The sequence below is a fragment of the Homo sapiens genome, chromosome 3 (assembly GCF_000001405.40).
Source record: "Homo sapiens chromosome 3, GRCh38.p14 Primary Assembly".
Taxonomy (NCBI): Eukaryota; Metazoa; Chordata; class Mammalia; order Primates; family Hominidae; genus Homo; species Homo sapiens.
In genome coordinates this window covers 54691107-54710421 of record NC_000003.12, presented here as the reverse complement: position 1 = coordinate 54710421, position 19315 = coordinate 54691107, and the positions used below count along the sequence as shown (strand labels likewise).

At 40.5% G+C, this 19315-nt stretch overlaps 1 protein-coding gene across 1 annotated transcript in view, besides 1 other annotated feature; it reads right to left on the bottom strand.

Annotated features, from left to right (window-relative positions):
* CACNA2D3 (calcium voltage-gated channel auxiliary subunit alpha2delta 3) overlaps positions 1-19315 on the bottom strand; it is a 952006-nt gene that overhangs the window by 364136 nt on the left and 568555 nt on the right. The window lies entirely within an intron of this gene.
* Positions 83-802: an enhancer, noted in NCBI's record as "NANOG-H3K27ac hESC enhancer chr3:54743647-54744366 (GRCh37/hg19 assembly coordinates)". NCBI's record gives its function as "activates a minimal SCP1, AML or CMV promoter by ChIP-STARR-seq in primed H9 embryonic stem cells {active_cell/tissue: H9 hESC(primed)}" and the evidence as "EXISTENCE:reporter gene assay evidence [ECO:0000049][PMID:30033119]".

Sequence of the window (19315 nt, the reverse complement as noted above, 5' to 3'; positions counted from 1 at the left end):
ACTGGATCCTCAAATCCCAATAGAACTATTCAATCTGCATCATATTGGAATGTGAGAAGAAATAAATCTTCATTTTTGTTAAGTCATTTAGATTTCATATTCATTATTATTGTTATGGCAACACAGGTCAGCCTAGCCTCGTTAATACAAATATTTCTTCAAGACATTGATTTTCCCTTCATCATACTTACCACAATTTGCCATTAAGTATTTTATTTGGGGTTTGCTTATTTATTTCCTGACTTCTCAGTAACCACTGTTCACCTGTGCTATTCATAGGTGCTAATTCAATGCCTGGTACACAATAGGTGCTCCACAAATACTTGCTCAATGCATGAACAAATGAATATTTAGCAAATGAATGAGTCGATTCTCTGATTTTTGACTCCCACCTCTCTCCCTGTGTGCGTGTGTGAAAACAAAAGACTTTTGTTGTTGTTGTTTTGGAAAATAATACCTCTACCAGGTGGTAGGCGACTGATTTTATTTTTATTTTAGAGACAGGGTCTTGCTCTTTCATGCAGGCTAGAGTGCAGTGGCAATCCATGGCTCACTGCAGACTCAAACTCCTAGGATCAAGTAATCCTCCCACCTCAGCCTTCTGAGTAGCTGGACCCACAGGCACATGCCATCATTTCCAGCTAATTTTCAAATTTTTTTGTATGGATAGGGTCTCGCTATGCTACCCAGGCTGGTCTTGAACTACTGGTCACAAGCAACCATCCCACTTTGGCCTCCCAAAATTCTGTGATGACAGGTGTGAGCCACCATGCCTGGCAAGTGATGGATTTTAAAAGATAAGACTTCCAAGGCAGAAGGATCACTTGAGTCCAGGAGTTCGAGACAAGTCTAGGTAACATAGTGAGACCCTGTCTCTACAAAAAAATTTAAAAATTAGCCCAGCATGGTGATGTACACCTGCAGTCCCAACTACTCGGGAGGCTGAGTGGGAGGATCACTTGAACCCAGGAGGCTAAGGCTTTAGTGAATCGAGATCATGCCACTGCCCTCCAGCCTGGGCAACAGAGGGAGACCCTCTCTTTAAGAAAAAAAAAAAGAGAGAGAGAGAGGACTTTAAGCAGTCTGCAGCTGGAGTTTAAAAATGAAGGCTGGGTGCGGTGGCTCACACCTGTAATCCTAGCACTTTGGGACGCCAAGGCAGGCGGATCACTTGAGGTCAGCAGTTCGAGACCAGCCTGGCCAATATGGTGAAACTCCATCTCTACTAAAAATACAAAAAAAAAATTAGTCAGGCATGGTGGTGTGCACCTGTAGTCCCAGTCAGTTGGGAGGCTGAGGCGGGAGAATTGCTTGAACCCAGGAAGTGGAGGTTGCAGTGAGCCGACATTGAGTCATTGCACTCTAGCCTAGGTGACAGAGCAAGACTCCATCTTGAAAAAAAAAAAAAAAGATGAAGATGGGTATAGAATTAGGTTTTAGGGTTGATAAGCAGATGTAAAAAATAGTTATTTAAAATTGGCCTCACCTTATCATACCAGAATTAGTGGAAAACCAAAAGAAAAAAAAATTGTCTTTTCAATCAATAGGGTTACAGAAAAAGAGAAAAACTTAAGACCCAAGATTTAAGTCAAAACCAAACTGGTCTGGCGAAAAATAAATGAATGCCTAAAAGACTGTCAAGGCTTGTCAGGGTCTCACCCCTCCACCATGAATTCAGGTGTTGGAGGAAATTCTGGAGCCGCCTAGGATTTGAGCATTTAAATTATGGCTTAACTTACAAATATGCATTCAAAAGCATTCTCCTCTAAAAGATTTAATTATCTGTCTCTTTTCCAAATAGCCCAACTCTCTACCTCCTGCATACTTGGGCCAAGGCTGGGGGTATTCAATGCTAAGATTCCAGCTTTGTCTCTGCTCAATCAACATTTACCTATTATAAACAACCAATTTGGCAGTAATCACAAGGTCTCCAACCAAAAGGATCCTGTTCAACTCCATCCTTTCGAAGAAGTGTTTATTAGGGTTATTTTTCTGTCACTTTGTCTTTGGTAGCTCTACAGAGTGGGCCACACAGCTAGTAATCTAAACCTTAAAATTTATCTCACTGACTTGAAACTTCCATGTTTCATTAGAACATGCAGGCAAAACAGTTTTCGCCTGCCATCAAATTCGATAACACCTTTGTATATATCATGTGATACCACTCAGCTACTTCTCATTCTCAGAGATTAAAGACCAGTGAATTAGAATGGATTATTCAGTTAGAAATCCAGAAAAGTTTCACTGGATGGTTTTATATGTTCTTTGATCGACTCGAGGCCAGGAATATAAGGCCCCTGAGTTCTTTAAATTATGTCTCCCACATCTCTGACTTTGGCTTCAAATAAACAATTACCTTGCCAGACCATAACCTTCATTCATTGTTCAGCACTTGAAAGCTTTAAACAATGCACATCTCTAGCCTCTCTGTGGATACAGGTGGACTTAAAGTCACATAACCAAGTCTTAATTATTATAAATGGGGTCTAACTCCAACAGCAAAAGAGAATGAAAACAGGATTTGGAAGGGCCTTTCCATCAGATAAACAGCTCCTTCTATACACAAACTCAATGTGCCACTTACTTTTCTCACTCCTCTGCTGAAGTGAAACAAGCAAATAAAAACTCAGGCCGTCATTTCCCCAGAATCTCCCTCTCCTTCAAGCTACCCCACATAGTGAAATTCTTGGATGAGCAGACCATGGAAATTCAACAGTCAGCAAAAGCCTATGGACAGCCTTACTCAAAGGCTTTATCATCATACAGCTTCTCGGTAAAGCTTTGGAGACATTAGCCACACTCTGATACTGGGACTACAAAGAAAATTCCACAGATAAAAGAATCAGGATCTCTTTCCAGCCAACAAAACCAATGTCAATCTGAAACCATCACTCTCATTCAAGGCCTCCTTCCCACTCAAATCCTAGGTTGCCCTGTGAATCCCTTTCGTGTACTGGGACATGGGTGTGAATGTCTTTTGCACTGAGGCATCGGATTGATGGCAGGATGAGCCAGGGTTGAATAATTTACCTAACCTTTGTCCAGAACTAAAAGCCAATGGGAACATCCAATGAACATAATGAACAAACTTAAATATAACATGTGGGAAACATAACAAACTTCAAATCAAACCTTTCTTCTGACCTCCAAAATGCCAAGAATGACCCTTAGAACTAGACTGGACCATGGCCAATTAGATCTGAATTCATTACATATGTTTTGGGGGATGGGGCTTTTGCCTGGACTCACCCTAATGAATTGTTCGGCCTTCATGGAAATGCTCTAATGACAATAATTTTCAGGAAGTAGCTGGCTCTTGCCTTCTTTCACTTGCTACCCATTAATACGCCTTCTACGCATTACTTAGATTAAGGATTTTGTAAAGGAGGCCTTTGTAAGAGAAATAACTTGGGCAGAAGTGCAGCAGAGCATGAAATCCCAATCTGGATGGTTGGCTGCTTCATAAAATGTGACCAGGAATGGAGAAGCCAGAAACAGAGGTAGGGAACAGAGTGATGGATCTCACAGTAGCTGATGGAAAGTTTCCCAACCATATCATGACAATTGGCCTATGCAGGGCCCCAAATGAAATCCATTATATTGGCCACAAAGCATGGGATTCTGGCACAGTCAGTGCAAAAATGTTTCCCTCTGTGAGCTTTAAATGTTATCACGCAGCCTCCCACTGCTCCTCACCCTGAGAGTGAGGGCCTAAAGCTGGAGAGCATCGATTCTCACAATGGCCTTGGCAACCAGTTACAAGATCATTTTTGAAGAGAAGCAAACTCATAGCACTTCAGTAAAAGGTACAGTCTACTGAGGTGTTGTTATTCAAGGACAGCTGGTCTCAATGGCAACATGTCACTCATGAAAGTCCAAGCACCAAAGCCTGAGGATAGATACCATTTTTAATAAATAAAGACAGATGTTAATCATTCTACTAATATGTCAGCCATCCACTTGCATTCTAAAGGATGTTCCTGAATGAAAGGGAAAGGGGTGACTGAGGCATAACCCTAGGCAAGCATTGGCATGGTGGCTTCATGCATTGTTAATGTTATGTGAACAACACTGTTAAGAACTGCCACGACTTTGGGAAGAAAATGTTGGGATAAAGCCCCTAGGCTAACCTTCTATTGAAATGTTGATCCCCAGAAGAGAACAGGATGCATGGCCATCCCCAAACTCCATCTCAGCTGAAGAAAGTGCAAGAAGGTATCTCCTTATGTTAAAAGATGACTTTACTTGGATACATCAAAATAGTGCACTGCTGGGTCTTCACGCAAATGCTTCTAGTCAAAGGAATGCTGGATCCATGGAAGAACTGGACTTCAATGTGGGAATGAGGCTCCAGTTGATTTGGCCTTATGGTGTGTGAACAAGATGGTTCTTAAAACATATGGGCTAGTGATACTGCCTCAAAGGAGCACAGAAGCCGGAACAGATCATTCTATTGTTTTATGAGAACTATACGAGGAGAAGAGGGGCCATGCATAGCATCTCCATCATCACTTTATGAGGCATGAGAGTCAGTATCACTGAAGTGCTTGTCTCAGACCAAGTCTGCTTTCTAGTATGAACAAGACAATAGGCTTCAGACACATATCCGCATAGCAAATCAAAACTCATTAAGTTAGGATCAGCACATTATTTGAAGCAACTTATACTCTTCTAACCAGGAAGATGCCCTATTATGCTATAATTATATCAGATATCAAACAGGGTTAATTCAAAGCTTTTAGTTATAGGAACATTGGGAGGCCCAAACTGTTGAATTAAATAACTCTACAATCCTGTGCTAAAATACTCATTAAAAATATTGAACCTCAATAAGAAGAAAGTCTGTCAATGTGTTATCTATAACCCTTGAGTCCTTGGATTTTTCTACTGTGAAGTCATCCCTTCACTCAAAACAAACAAAGGAGCAAATCAGAACAACAAGAAAAAACCTGTGAGAACCAATTGCAGCACTGGCATGTTACCAGGGGCTGGGGACAACGTCTTTACAAAGGCCAAGTTTTTCTTCTCAACAAGTGAGGAATCTAGAATAGGCTACAGATAAGTTACCTTATAATTCTAGTTCAATGATATAACTCCTAAGACACTGACACAAACAATATAATTTGGCAGCACCAAGAGCTAACTTTGCTGGGAAAGGAAATAATGTGACCCCTAGAGAAGGAGAAAGGAAGTGAGGATTTAAAATAAGGCCAAAGAATTGAAATTGATATGGCAAAATGTGAATATTTGCTAAATCCAGATAGTGGGTATTCAGTACATTTGAAATATTTCACAAATTAAAAACAATGAACTTAATCTTTTGGAGACTGAGCCATTTTTGGAAATAATCAGGCAGGAAGACCCGTGCAGATGACAGTGCAGGGGCTGGGCCAGCTACACTCCATGGTCCACAGTAGCTCTGTACCCAGCAGAGCTCAGAGAATGCAGAAAGCCCCCCAGGAAAGTCCATTACTTTGACTTCAATGCACTCTCCACTCTCTACAGGGTTGTTTCCCTGTAGAAATGGGGGTGGGGGGTAGAGAATCTCCTTTTTGGGTCAAGGAAGTAATGGTGTTGGGTAGGAGGGAGGTAGGGGTGGAAAACTGCAATGCACACCAAGAACAACTGGACTTGGATCATATCTTTCAAAAGATCATGAAATAACAGATTTTAAACAATAGGAAGGAGTCCCACATCTGTGACACTGCCTCATGTTAGATGGGGTATATTAATATTTGTGTCTCTTGGCCTAAACACCTCTTGTTAAAGGGATTCCACCCCCGTACAGCTGTGCTGTTCCTATCACCAACGTCTGAGTGATCAGGAAGACTGTTCTCTGGCAAGTCAAAAAAGAAAATGACTAGCTCAACAAATTTTTATCAAGACATGCAGCTCACAGAGATCCCTGAGCCTGCAGCAATCAACACAGGGAAAAGGCAAAAACCTATTAGCCAGGTATTAAAAAAAAGAGGGAAAAATAAAGAAATGGAAACTATGTATGAACTGGGGATCCAGTGTCCCCCCAATAGAAGGTTTTAGCTGTCCTTACAAGTCAGTTAAAAATGTTTAAGGAACATACTTAAACTGCAGCATTTCTAATGTGGCTGTCACACCACATTTAATGCAGAAAAGATGTATTTTTAAATGATCCGGTTACTCCAAGGCTTTGGCTTATAAAAGCCTTTTTTATTGAGATTCTAAATTCCAGTCTGAATAACCTTTCAATTTGTTCCAGTAATTTTTCCCCTCCTGCATTTGCATTGGCAATACAGCTGGAGTCATTTCAAAGCCTGGGCCCTGAGCACTGAGCCTTTTGTACCAAGTCTCCCCCTTCAGCATAGACTGTGGGTGCCAGATTTGACATTTCTATGAAGCTGTTTGCACAAGAAAAACCACTTGCTTTTCAAAGATCAAGATTAAAGAGAGCTTAGGAAAAGAAAGACAGCATGTAGTATTTTTCATCACCCCTGTGATTAACTAGGGGTAGAGGTAGGGGTCTGAACTACAAATTAAGTCACCTCAAGATTCCTTGAGTAGTTAAAAGTGCTACAAACAAATGCGGCTCTCTGTTAGTATCTCTGCTTACATCCCAAAGCCCTTGTTTCATTATCTAACCATCACTTTCCTTTGTGCTCTACTGTGAGCTTGCCGACATTTTGCAACTTGGCGCTTGGGTGACACTCATGATACAACATCAGTGTGAAGGTATGAACAAGGTTTAAACTTGATAGCTTTTCATGTGGCACCTTCTTCCTAAATATTGAAAAGAAAATGAGACCTTACAAAGATGGGATAATTGTAGGGGGATTTTAGGTCATTCCAATCAAAACCTGGTAGGAGGATAGTCAACGGTTATTGAACCTTCACTATGTGGCCAGCGCTGAGCAAGATGCTTTCAGGAATACTTTTGTCCAAAACTAAACATGTGAATAACAAAAGGTGGCCACCATTCCAATTGTAGGGACACTAGTTATCCTTAAAAAAATGTAATACCACCCAAGAATCTAGAAACTACTTTTACATTTAGTTTGTTTGAGTAGGATTAGGCCTGTAAAATTCTTATAAGTAAATTCTAGCTCCAAATGGATAAAATGAATCACATGTAGGTTAATACAAATAAACTCTGTGGCACCTTGTCCAACCTAAAACTTTTATTTATTTTTTTATCCTTTTTTTTTCTTCCAACTTTTAATTTAAGTTCAGGGGGTACATGTGCAAGTTTGTTACATGAGTAAATTGCATGTCACTGGCGTTTGGTGTACGAATTATTTCATTACCCAAGTAGTGAGCACAATACCAGGTGGATAGTTTTGTGATCCTCACCCTCCTCCCACCCTCCACCCTCATATAAGCCCCGGTGTCTATCGTTCCCCTCTTTGTGTCCATGTGTACTCAATGTTTAGCTCCCACTTATAAATGAAAACATGTAGGATTTGGTTTTCTGTTCCTATATTAATTTGCTTAGGATAATGGCTTCCAGCTGCATCCATGTTGCTGCAAAGGATGTGATTTCATTCTTTTTATGGCTATGTAGTATTCCATGATGTGTATGTACCACATTTTCTTTATCCAATCCACCATTTACAGGCATCTACATTGATTCCATGTCTTTGCTCTTGTGAAAAGGAGCACTCATGAAAGCATGTGTCTTTTTGGCAGAATGATTTATATTCTTTTGGGTATACTTTCAGTACTTTGATTGCTGGGTTGAATAGTAGTTCTGTTCTAAGTTCTCTGAGAAATCTCCAACTGCTTTCCACAGTGGCTAAACTACTTTCAGACCAGCAGTGTATAAGCACTCCCTTTTCCTCTGCAACCTAACATCTGTTATTTTTAAACTTTTTAATGACAGCCATTCTGACTGGTGAGATGGTATCTCATAGTGGTTTTGATTTACATTTCTGTAATCATTAGTGATGTTGAGCATTTTTTCATATGCTTGTTGGCCATGCACATGTCTTTTTTTGAGAAGTGTCTGTTCATGTCCTCTGTTCATTTTTTAATGGAGTGGTTTAAGTTCCTTAAGTTTAAGTTCCTTATAGATTCCCTGGACATTAGACTTCGTCAGATGCACAGTTTGCAAATATTTTCTCCCATTCTGTCTGTTTACTTTGTTGATAACTTCTTTTGCTGTGCAGAAGCTCTTCAGTTTAGTTAGGTCCCACTTGTCAATGTTTTTGTTGCAATTGCTTTTGAGAGTTTTCATCACAAATTCTTTCCCAAGGCCTATGTCCAGAATGGTTATTTCTTAGGTTTTCTTCTAGGGTTTTCACAATTTTAGGTTTTACTTTTAAGTCTTTAATCCATCTTGAGTTGATTTTTGTGTATGGTGAAAAGAAAGGGCCTGGTTTCAATCTTTTGCATGCAGATAGCCAATTATCCCAGCACCATTTATTTTTGAATAGGGAGTCCTTTCCCCATTGCTTGTTATTGTTGACTTGGTTGAAGATCAGATGGTTGTAGGTGTGTGGCTTTATTTCTAGGTTCTCTGACCTGTTCCATTGGTCTGTGTCTGCTTTTGTACCAGTACCATGCTGTTTTGGTTACTGCAGCCTTGAGGTTTAGTTTGAAGTCTATACTACAGTGTGATGTAGTGTGATGTCTCGGGCTTTATTCTTTCGGCTTAAGATTGCTTTGGCTATTCAGACTCATTTTTGGTTCCATGAAAATTTTAGAATAGTTTATTCTAGTTCTGTGAAAAATGACATTAGTAGTTTGATAGGGATGGCACTGAATCTATAAATTGCTTTGGGCAGTATGGCCATTTTAACAACATTGATTCTTCCCATCCATGAGCATAAAGTGTTTTCCCATTTGTTTGTTGTTGTCTCTGATTTCTTTCAGCAGCGTTTTGTAATTCGTGTTGTAGAGATATTTCACCTCCCTCGGTAGCTGTATTCCTACAACCTAAAACTTTTAAATGACCTTTTGTAGGGAAAAAAACATTTATAACACATATTTACATCTTTCAAGCACATCCTTGTGAACAGGAGCTAGATATATTAGATATAGAGAGGATGGAGGGGGAAATCTCAGTAGACTCCTTGAAATTCCTTACAAACAACTATTAGGCTTCCTGTACATGGTAGGGTTGATTTTACTTTCATTAAGATCACTAGTTTTCAAAGCTTTAATGACACAAACCAGTTTCTCATATAATTTGCTTCTGATCCACTTTCAAACATTAGATGATCTTTTTTGGTGGAGTGCACACATCTTAGTTGGTAGAAATAAAGACAAATTATAGGATTAGAGATGACTTGTAAAGCCTAGAAAGAAACTTCAGATCAGTGGCCAAATTGGTTTCTTTTAGGAATCAGAGGCACTTGACAAGCACTCATGAAAAGAACCTGATTTCTTTCATCCAATATGGCCCAGTTCCATTTAAATTTAGAACAGAGAATTCTGCAGCCTGTGCTTTTAGAATAATTACTGATGGCTCTTACTTTTTGAGAATATGCTGGGACTCTCAGAGGGAGGTGGTTCAATGGCTAAGCCTATAGCTCTGGAGTCTAATGAATTGGTGTTAGGTCTTCGTTTTTTCACTGAACAGTTTTGAGACTTGGGCAAGTAGTTTTCCAGCCCTATACAAAGGGACTAGTGATAGCTCCTGTCTCACAGGGCTGCCATGACAATTACATGAGGCAACTCCTGGAAAGCACTTTGCATAGAGCCCAATGCATAGGATAAAGTCAACTAAATAAAAACTTAATATTCCTATAGTATAACTATTTACCATTCTTCTACCAACTGGTTATTGATTCAAGTCTCATAAATTATAAAATTCTAAGGCTATAACCATACATATTAAAAATAAAAATAAAAACTTGGCATCTTGACTGTCACTTATTTGAAACATCCTCTGGAGAAACAATGTCCAACAGAACTTTATTCAATGATGAAAATATTATATATTTGTGCTGACATGGTTGTCACCAGCTAATGGGATTATTAAAACACTTGAAATTTGGTTGGTGCAACTAAGGAATTGAATTTTTAATTTGGTTTAATTTTAATTAAATTAAATGTGAATTTTAAGTGGCCACAAGTGGCTGATGGCCACCATGTTGGGCAGCTCAGTCACCTCTGGAATATGAGGAAAATAGACAGGAGAGCATAAATAAACAAAGAAATCAGTATCAGTGGGAAAAGCCACATTTGGATGAGAATGATTACTTAGCACTCACCCAGCAAACACTTGAGATGTTCCATGAGTCGTGAAGGTGAAAGTGAGCTGGGAGTTATAGACTGTCCTGAATTCAAATTCTGGATCTATCACTTACACGTTGTAATAGCTAGGTCAATCTGTTAGCTTCTTCTTAGCCAGGGGCTATGACTAGGTAGTGCACGTAGATAATAAATGCTAGGAGTGGATTCTGCTCCCTAAGGAAACCCAGGAGGGACAACCTTGTGTGTACCTGTGTCACGCACAGGTTAAAAGCACATCAGCACCCACACAAACACACGATTTAACCTCATGGTTAATATGGTTGTTTGGGTTGGCATAGTTTGGGTTATTCATTTAGTAAGAATATAAACTGTCCAGTAAGCACCCTTACTGTGTGGTGAGGCCCAAAGGGATAGAGGAAAAGCCAAATTAATATTATTTAGCACATATTAAGTACTTTCCATTTAATCTCACGGCAGCCAGGATGAAGTCAATATTACTATCCTCATTTTATATAGGCTACAAACGGAGGCATAGAGTGGTTAAATCACTCACCCAAAGGAACACAGCAAGCTGGAACCAAAATCCAGTCTGATAAAAGTCCCAATTCAGAAGAATCACTGCTGAGAAATAGAACAATAAATGGGGTGTGCCCTTATATTAAAATGCTGCTAGTCTCACGGAGAAGATAAGACATAAACACAAGGCAGCAGGACGTAAAACTAAGAGTGAGACATACATTGTCACAGGGAAGAGGAGAAGGGGCAAGAAGGAAACGCTGGCTTCTGAACAACTTGTTAGTGACTGGGGGGAAGCAGGCTGTTTCCCAAAGGATGGAAAGACTTTGCTTAATCATGACAAGCATGGGACACTCTTCTGCCCCATTAAAGAAGGAGCTCAGCAGATGCCCGGGACTGGAGAGATGAGCCTCCCTCTGACCTCCAGCCCCTTCCCCCTTGCTCCTCCAGCATCCCATGCAGTCTTCTTCCTCCTCCTGATTCTCTCTTGCCTGCTAGGTCTCCCAAGCATCCTATCAGAGAGAGGCTGGCATGGGGCCAAAGGAACAGTTTTTGAAACTGGAAACCAGATGCCACCAGCTCCCTATGACTTGGGTTCTGTCATGGCTTGATGCCTTGGTCTTATTTTCGTCTTAAGACTTCTGAGCAGGTTCAGGGTCTTCCTCTGTCTTTTCAATGAAGCACACTGTCAGCACCAGTAATCACTAAATAATAACGGTAATTACACCCTTCTTACCTAAATGTCTCCTATGATTTCAATAATTCCACTCTGAAGTCCTTGCAGGGCCGCCTGCATTCACGTGGTTGTTAGTGATTTGTACAAGCTTTTGCTCGCTCTCCCATACGTCCTTGTATGTCTATAAATGGTTACATTTGGGGAAAACACACAGGGTGGGAGATAAATACATAGGCAGGCCATTGCCCATGCACCAATTTATAAAATGCATCATAAGATATGAAAAGTGTTAGGCAAATGTGTTTATTTCTATGTTGTTCACATTTCCCTCAGTCATATCACATCTCCTTCTCCAAATGTTCTAATCATGTTTTATTCCAACTATAAGAATTCTGCTTACTTGTACGTTCTCATCTCTTCAAAGATGACGTCAAGCAGGAGGCAGAGATTGAGTTTTAATCCCTCGCTTGCCCTTCCGAATGTCAAGTATTTGTGGTGTTTAGCGTTTTCAAAATCAATGGGGACCAAAAACATATCAAAATGAGTATCAAGATCATTCAGAGCAGAATATTAAACACGCCTTATGTTTTCCTAAGGCAAGTTTTAAAAACAGGACTGGCAACAAAGCAAGTTTAAAGTTTATGAAAACAGACAACTCTAGCTGTATTCCATTTCCCTCTGTCTGGAAGCCAGCTCTTTTGAAAAAGTTCAAAGGAAAACTGAACTGTGACTCCCTTTCTAAATAAACAACATCATCCCTGTGTGTCAATAAGTTAACCATCCCCCAGTCCCTGATGTCCAAACCTACACCCCCTAATTTGCTATTCACATTCCTGAGACTACCCCTTGGTTACAAATCTGCTATTGTTGTTCTTTAGTTCCACACTGACAGGCAGTCTCCTGGGGAGCACCCATAGTAGTCAATTGTCGCCAGGATCTGAAAATAGCTTGAAAATATTATTTGGATTGTTTGCAGTTCATCATTTTAAATGAAAGTAAGGAGAGAGAGCAGCAAAAATGACAATAGCTAAAAATATCGGCAATAAACCTTATTTTCTGTTTGTGCAAAGTGTTGCTAACGTAACATATTGTGCATGATTTTAAAAACAAGAATGAATGGCAGGCCAACAGTGAAGATTACCATGCCCACAAGTGAAATGAGACTGGAAGAAAAAAAAAATGTCTGGCTAAGGGAAAACTAAATTAATTGCTCCATCTTCAAGATATTTAGCCAAGATTCTTCCTCCTTCCATCTCCTACCCTCTTCCCAGCAGTAGCTTTAGCATCCATTAAAATCGGTGATTTGAATGCATGGAAGGTAGTTAGAAAATAACTAGAAGTATCTTGCCTATAGCACTCTTGCTCCAACTCCCTCTCTCTGGAATGCATGAAAAATAAGTTAAGTGTGCACATGGCTCCATTCCTTCCAGACCACAGGAGTGTGGGGCACCTTGCAGCCAGAGGGAAAGAAGAAACAGGAGAGAGGAAAAGAGGTGGAGAAAGGGCAGTGAACATGTATTCTTGGGAGTGAGGATTCCATCAAAATGGTCAGATAGGGATTTCTGCTTGTCCTTGGAAACTGTAGGATTAGAAAAGCTGATGCTCTAAAGTTCGTTCAGCCAAATGAAGGCGGTTCCCTAAGACAGTGGTCCTCAAACTTTACTGTGGATAAGAGTCACCTTGGGTGCTTGTTAACATGCAGATACCTGAGTCTGACTCTGGACCCAGAGTTAGAAACTTCAGAAACAGAGCCAGGAATCTCATGTTTTTGTTTGCTTGTTTTTGTGAGATGGGGTCTCTGTCATCCAGGTTGGAGTACAGTGGTGCAATCGCAGCTCACTGCAACCTCCGCTGCCTGGGCTCAAGTGATCCTCCTACCTTAGCCTCCTGAGTAGCTGGGACCACAAGCATGCACCACCATGCCTGGCTAATGTTTTGTATTTTTGGTAGACACAGGGTTTTGCCATGTTGCCTGGGCTGGTCTTGAACTCCTGAGCTCAAGTGATCCACCTGCCTCGGCCTCCCAAAGTGCTGGGATTACAGGCGTGAGTCACAGCGTCTGGCCAAGAATCTGATTTTTTTAAGAGAGCTCCAGAGCACTAAAGCTAGGGACCCCCAAATCTTGTAAACAAACAACAGGATCAAAAACACTGCTTCTCACTACTGGGTTCCCCAAACAAAAAACTCTGCATACTCTTGGACTTGTAAGAGTCAAGAGACAATGGGAAGTAAGCAAGGATGATTTTTAACATAATACTGCTGGCTAATTTATGAGCTTAGCCCCATTTTAGCATTCTTTAAAATGTCTTCTGGAGGGTTCAGTGCTAGAGCAGAGAATAGGGTCTTCCATGAAGTGGAACCACAGGACAACTGGGTTTGCTAAGTAATGTGATGATGGTAGGTGCACATACAGCCACCGACCACACACAAGAAGAAAGGTGAGTGGGGGACAGTGGAACTGTGCCATTCTTTCCTCTGTGTACTCGCTACCACCACATTCCCTGACCACACACCCCTCTGCTGATAACCACATCCTGAACAAGAGAAAAAAAACCCTCTTCTAAGGAAACATCCTATGACAAGGAAAAGCAAACAAAGTGAATTACAAAATCAGCTGATGACAGAAGTCAAACTCATTTCTATGCATTGTAAATAGCATCGGACCTCATAGGCATTTGAAAATAGTTTCCTAATGTCAGTGTAGTAGGAAGCAGACTCCTCCTGCCCTGCCATGCAGAATATCACTGCTGCTGGAATGGGGGGACCTTCCAGCCCACCGTCTTGAGATGAAACGTGAAGGCTGCAGGGAGCCCTCTCCAATCTGCTAACCTAGGGAGTCACTGGTCCAAATAACACCAGCAATTATTTGTGAAGTTACAACTGATGGCAACTATAATGGAAACTACTAAGAAGATTTTTCTCTGAATATAATGGTGGAGTTACTAGAAGCCAGACAGGAACACAACCCACTCCCCGACCCTGGCCATGCCTCCCACCTCTCTCCCAGTCTCTAGGACCACACTGGGGGAGACAAGTGAAGAGACAGATGAGAATAAGATGTAGAAAGAAGGGAAAATAAGAAAACCAAGGCCTTTTCAGGAACAGTAGTCAACGCAAAAGCCAAGAAAAGAATATCTGATCATCTGACTTCACAACATTTTTAAACTTTGACATGGCAAAACCACCATAAAAATCAGAAGGCAAATAACAGAGAAAATTATTTGTGAACAATGACAAAAGTTAATATCCATCTATGAAAAGACTTCTTGCAAATCAATAAGGAGAAGGATGTACTCTTCAATTTAAAACAAAAGTGGAGGCAAAAGTCTTGAGTCATTCACAGAGAAGAAAATATGAATGACTATAAAATCTTATTGGTAATGAAAGAATTGCAAATTAAGAAGAGGTTGCATTTATTCTGTTATCATGTTGGCTAAGGTTTTTTAAAAGTTCATCTCTAGCAACAACTAGCAGGTAAGGGGAAGAGAGCACTGGTACATTGCTGGTGGGGATGTGCATTAATAGAACTCTCCTTGAGGGCCATTTGCAAACAGGTATCCATAGCTTTAAAATACTCGTAACCTTGGAACCACTCATGCATTTGTATGTATGCATCCTAGAAACAACTTGTGATATGCACAAAGATGATGGTTTAAAAAAAAAAAGCAACAAGAAACAGAAAAAAAAAACTAAACTTGAATACTGTTCAGTCACTGAAATCAAGTTTTCATAAAATATTTTCAGCCAGGTGTGGTGGCTCATGCCTCTAATACCAGTACTTTGGGAGGCTGTAGCAGGTGGATCGCCTGAGGTCAGGAGTTCAAGACCAGCCTGGCCAACATGGTAAAACCCCATCTCTACTAAAAATACAAAAATTAGCTGCGCATGGTGGTGGGCACCTGTAATCCCAGCTACTCAGGAGGCTGAGGCAGGAGAATCACTTGAATCCAGGAGGCAGAGGTTGCAGTGAGCCGAGACTGTGCCATTGCACTCCAGCCTGGGTGACAAGAGCAAAACTCCATCTCAAAAAAAAAATATTTTATGACATGACAAAGTGGTAATGACATGATAGGGAAGAAGGCTCAAGATAAAAAGTTATGTAGAATGATCCTCACTTTGTGAAAAGCGTTTATAGAAAAAAGGCTAGAAATTACTACATTGGGATTTTAACTATGCATTCCCTATGAGATGCATTCACTGGAAAACCTTATTTTTCTCCTTATATTTTTCTATTATTTCTCAGAATAAAAAGAATATAACAAAGGTATCAGAAGACACAAAAGAAGAAAAGGGAATGAAAACAGAGGAGGGGGTAAGCATGTGGACCCTCTTACAGGGAAGGAACCCAAATACAGCTAGCAATACCTCAGGCACTTTTTCAAAAGAGCTACTTGAGAATTCAAGTTTTGGTATTTTGAGTATGTTGAATGCAAAGCATCCACCAACTGTCTTGTCACAGGATTTGAGCAGTGGGTGGACTGAATCTTCCTGTTAACTGTTCCTGAGGCCACCAAATGTCAATAGCAGAGCAGCCCATCTAGGACAGCATACCTTCACCAGTCCAAGGCAAAATGAGGAAAATCAGTGTGTATAGTATTTTCTATAAAGTTATAAGTATATTTGTGTGTCATTTAATAACAGGGATACTATGTTCTAAAAAAATGTGTTATTACAAGATTTGGTTGTTGTGTGAACACCATAGAGTGTATTTACACACACCTAGAGTGTGTACATAGCATAGCCTACTACACACCAAGGCTATATGGGACAGCCCAGTGTTCCTAGGCTGCAAACCTGTACAGCATGTGACTACTGAATACTGTAGGCAACTGTAACACAATGGTAAGTATTTATTTATCTAAACATACCTAAACATAGAAAAGATATCGGAAAGTATGGTATAGAAGATTAAAAATGGAACTCCTGTATAGGGCACTCACCATGAATGGAGCTTGCAGGACTGGAAGTTGCCCTAGGTGAGTTAGTGAGTAAGCGGTGAGTGAATGTGAAGGCCTAGGATATTCCTGTACACTTTAGAAGCACTATACACTTAGGCTACACTAAATTTATTTTTTAAAATGTATTTCTTCAATAATAAATATCTAAGCTAACTGTGACTTTTATAAACTTTTAATTTTTTTAACCTTTTGATTCTTCTGTAGTAACATGACTTAAAATATAAACACATCGTACAGCTGTACAAAAATATTTTCTTTATATCTTTATTAGCTTTTTTCTACTTTTAAAATTTTTAATTTTTTTATTTTACTTTTTAAACTTTTTTGTTAAAAACGAAGACACAAACACCCACATTAGCCTAGACCTACACAGGGTCAGGATTATCAATATCCCCATCTTCTACCTCCACCTCTTGTCCCACTGGAAGGTCTTCAGGGGCAATAACAGGCATGGAGCTGTCATCTCCTATGATAGCAATGCCTTCTTCTGGACACCTCCTGAAGGACCTGCCTGAGGCTGTGTTACAGCTAAATTTTCTTTTCAATAAGTAGATGGAGTACACTCTAAAATAATGATAAAAGTATAGTACAGTACATAAACCAGTAACATAGTTATCATCAAGTATTTTGTACTGTACATAATTGTGTGTGCTATACTTTTATATGACTGTTGATGCCAGCCTTGTTTACACCAGCATCACCACAAACACGTGAGTAATGTGTTGCACTAACATGTCAGGATGGCTGCAGCCTAGGTGGCTGGAATATTTTAGCTTCATTATAATCTTATGGAAAAACCGCATAAGAATATGCGGTTCATTGTTGATTGGAACATCGTTATGCAGAGCATGACTGTATTTCACTGAAAGGATTATCCTTTATTCCTATAATGACCTTCCCACATTTTAGTGTTAAGATGCCCATTTTTCTATGAGATGATGAGATAATAAATACCAGTTGTTCTGTTTTGGTTTTCTTAACATATTGACAAAGCAAAATTAAAACCTGCAGCTTTGTGTTACTACACAACTTTGGGGCTTTTTTGTTGTTGGTGGTGGTGGTGGTGGTGGTTTTTTTTTTACATTTTGCTGGTCCATGAAATCCAGGTATCTGATATCCAACTCTTAAATCCCCAAGCCTCACTTAAAAAGAGTTAGCCATTTCATGTGTGGAAGCAAAAACTAAATGGCTTTTTTTCTTCAGGCACTTGCTGGGTAAATTCTCAGCAGAGGATGATAGATTACCACTTTTGAGTTGAACAGAATTGCCAAGGCAGAGACATCTGTAGAATACAAGCATTCTTTCCAAAAAGGCTGCTAGAGACACACACATCTACCCACAGAATGAAAGAAACCTGTAACTGGTCTACAGCCCATCCTGCCTTTTGGTGAGTTGATACAGGTAACTGGGTGGGGATCCATTTTGCTGGTTGATGGGTTGTGTCCAGAGAGCTGAGGCTTGGGAATTTCTAAGAAATTTTCGTAGGATCCAGACTTAAATGGAAGCTCAGTTCTAGCTAGTGTCCTGAGGGTCACCAGAGTCTGAACACAAAAGAAAGAAAGAAAAGAATAGAAAAGAAAAGCAAGCAGGGAGCATGTCAGCCCAGAGCTGGGCACCCAGGCCCTGAGTCTGGCATACAAGTTCATGGTCCCCTGCTCCCTCTGCAGGCACAGCATCCAGAAATGTGGTGGACTAAGGAGAGAGGATGTGGGCTGGCATTCTGCTGAAATGCTCTCCTGACCTGAAGGGGCATGACTTAAAAGGAATTCTTAGTGGAGGGAAGAGAAAAACAAGTCTGATGGATCAAAAGAAATTAATATTACTGGCTGGGCGTGGTGGCTCACACATGCCTGTAATCCCAGCACTTTGGGAGGCCAAGGCAGGTGGATCACTTGAGATCAGGAGTTTGAGACCAACCTGGCCAACATGGTGAAACCCTGTCACTACTAAGAATACAAAAATTAGCTGGGCATGGTGGCGCATGCCTGTAGTCCCAGCTACTCGGGAGGCTGAGGTGGGAGAATCGCTAGAACCCAGGAGGCGAGGTTGCAGTGAGCCGAGGTCACGCCACTGTACTCCAGCCTGGACAAGTGAGACTCTGTCTCAAAAAAAAAGGAAGAAAGAAATTAATATTATTAATTACTTTAACTAGTTATCAGCTGTTTGTAATAAATGACATTGTGACAACTTGAGGGCTATTCACAGAGTCAAAATTAAAAGATAAAGAACAATTGGTGAAGGCATCCACTGCATTCTCTTTAATTTCCTGAAGCTGAAAAGACAAATAAATGAAATACTGCAAATGTGAACATTTTACTAAGCACACAATAGATAAATTAAAAACTCTGTCCTACAGGAAAATACAGCAACACATCCTCACTCACATAGGCCCCAGAGCTGGCTCCTCTCCAAGCCACTGGGGTCTGAAGGAATTCAGCACTTGCTCATTTTCATGTTAATAAACTAAGGATTTTGAATTAGAGAGTATTATAATTACTTTTCTTTCTAAGCTGTCTGCTGGCAATATACTTTCGGCACCTTTTTTTTGGCATTCTGATAACCTCCTCTAGGCAAGTGATTTAAATACAGTCAGTCTTCCATCACTGCCCCTCTCTTTCTCTCCTCATTGACTGAATATTGCCTGGATGTGCAGCTGGAAACTAAGCAAGTGAGTCACCACAATATGTTCCTTTGTTGATTACACATATCAGCTGTTTGTATGGAGTCTTCGAGCCATTGGGAAGTCCCCTGGTAGCAAAGAGCCTGGCTGCTGCTGAAATTTGACCAGAATATCTTGGGGAGGGGAGCAGAAGAGTCAGTGCAATGTAGGGCCACACTGTTAGCCAAGAGAAAGGCTATTTCCATGGCCTGAGTGTTCAAAGGCACATAAAACTCTGCAGCGTAGCTTCGTTTTCTTTCACACAGGGGTGAGCCATCATGGGTGGTAGAAGGCTCTGGCGGGTTGGGAACCAGGCCTCTTCTCCTAAGAACTGAC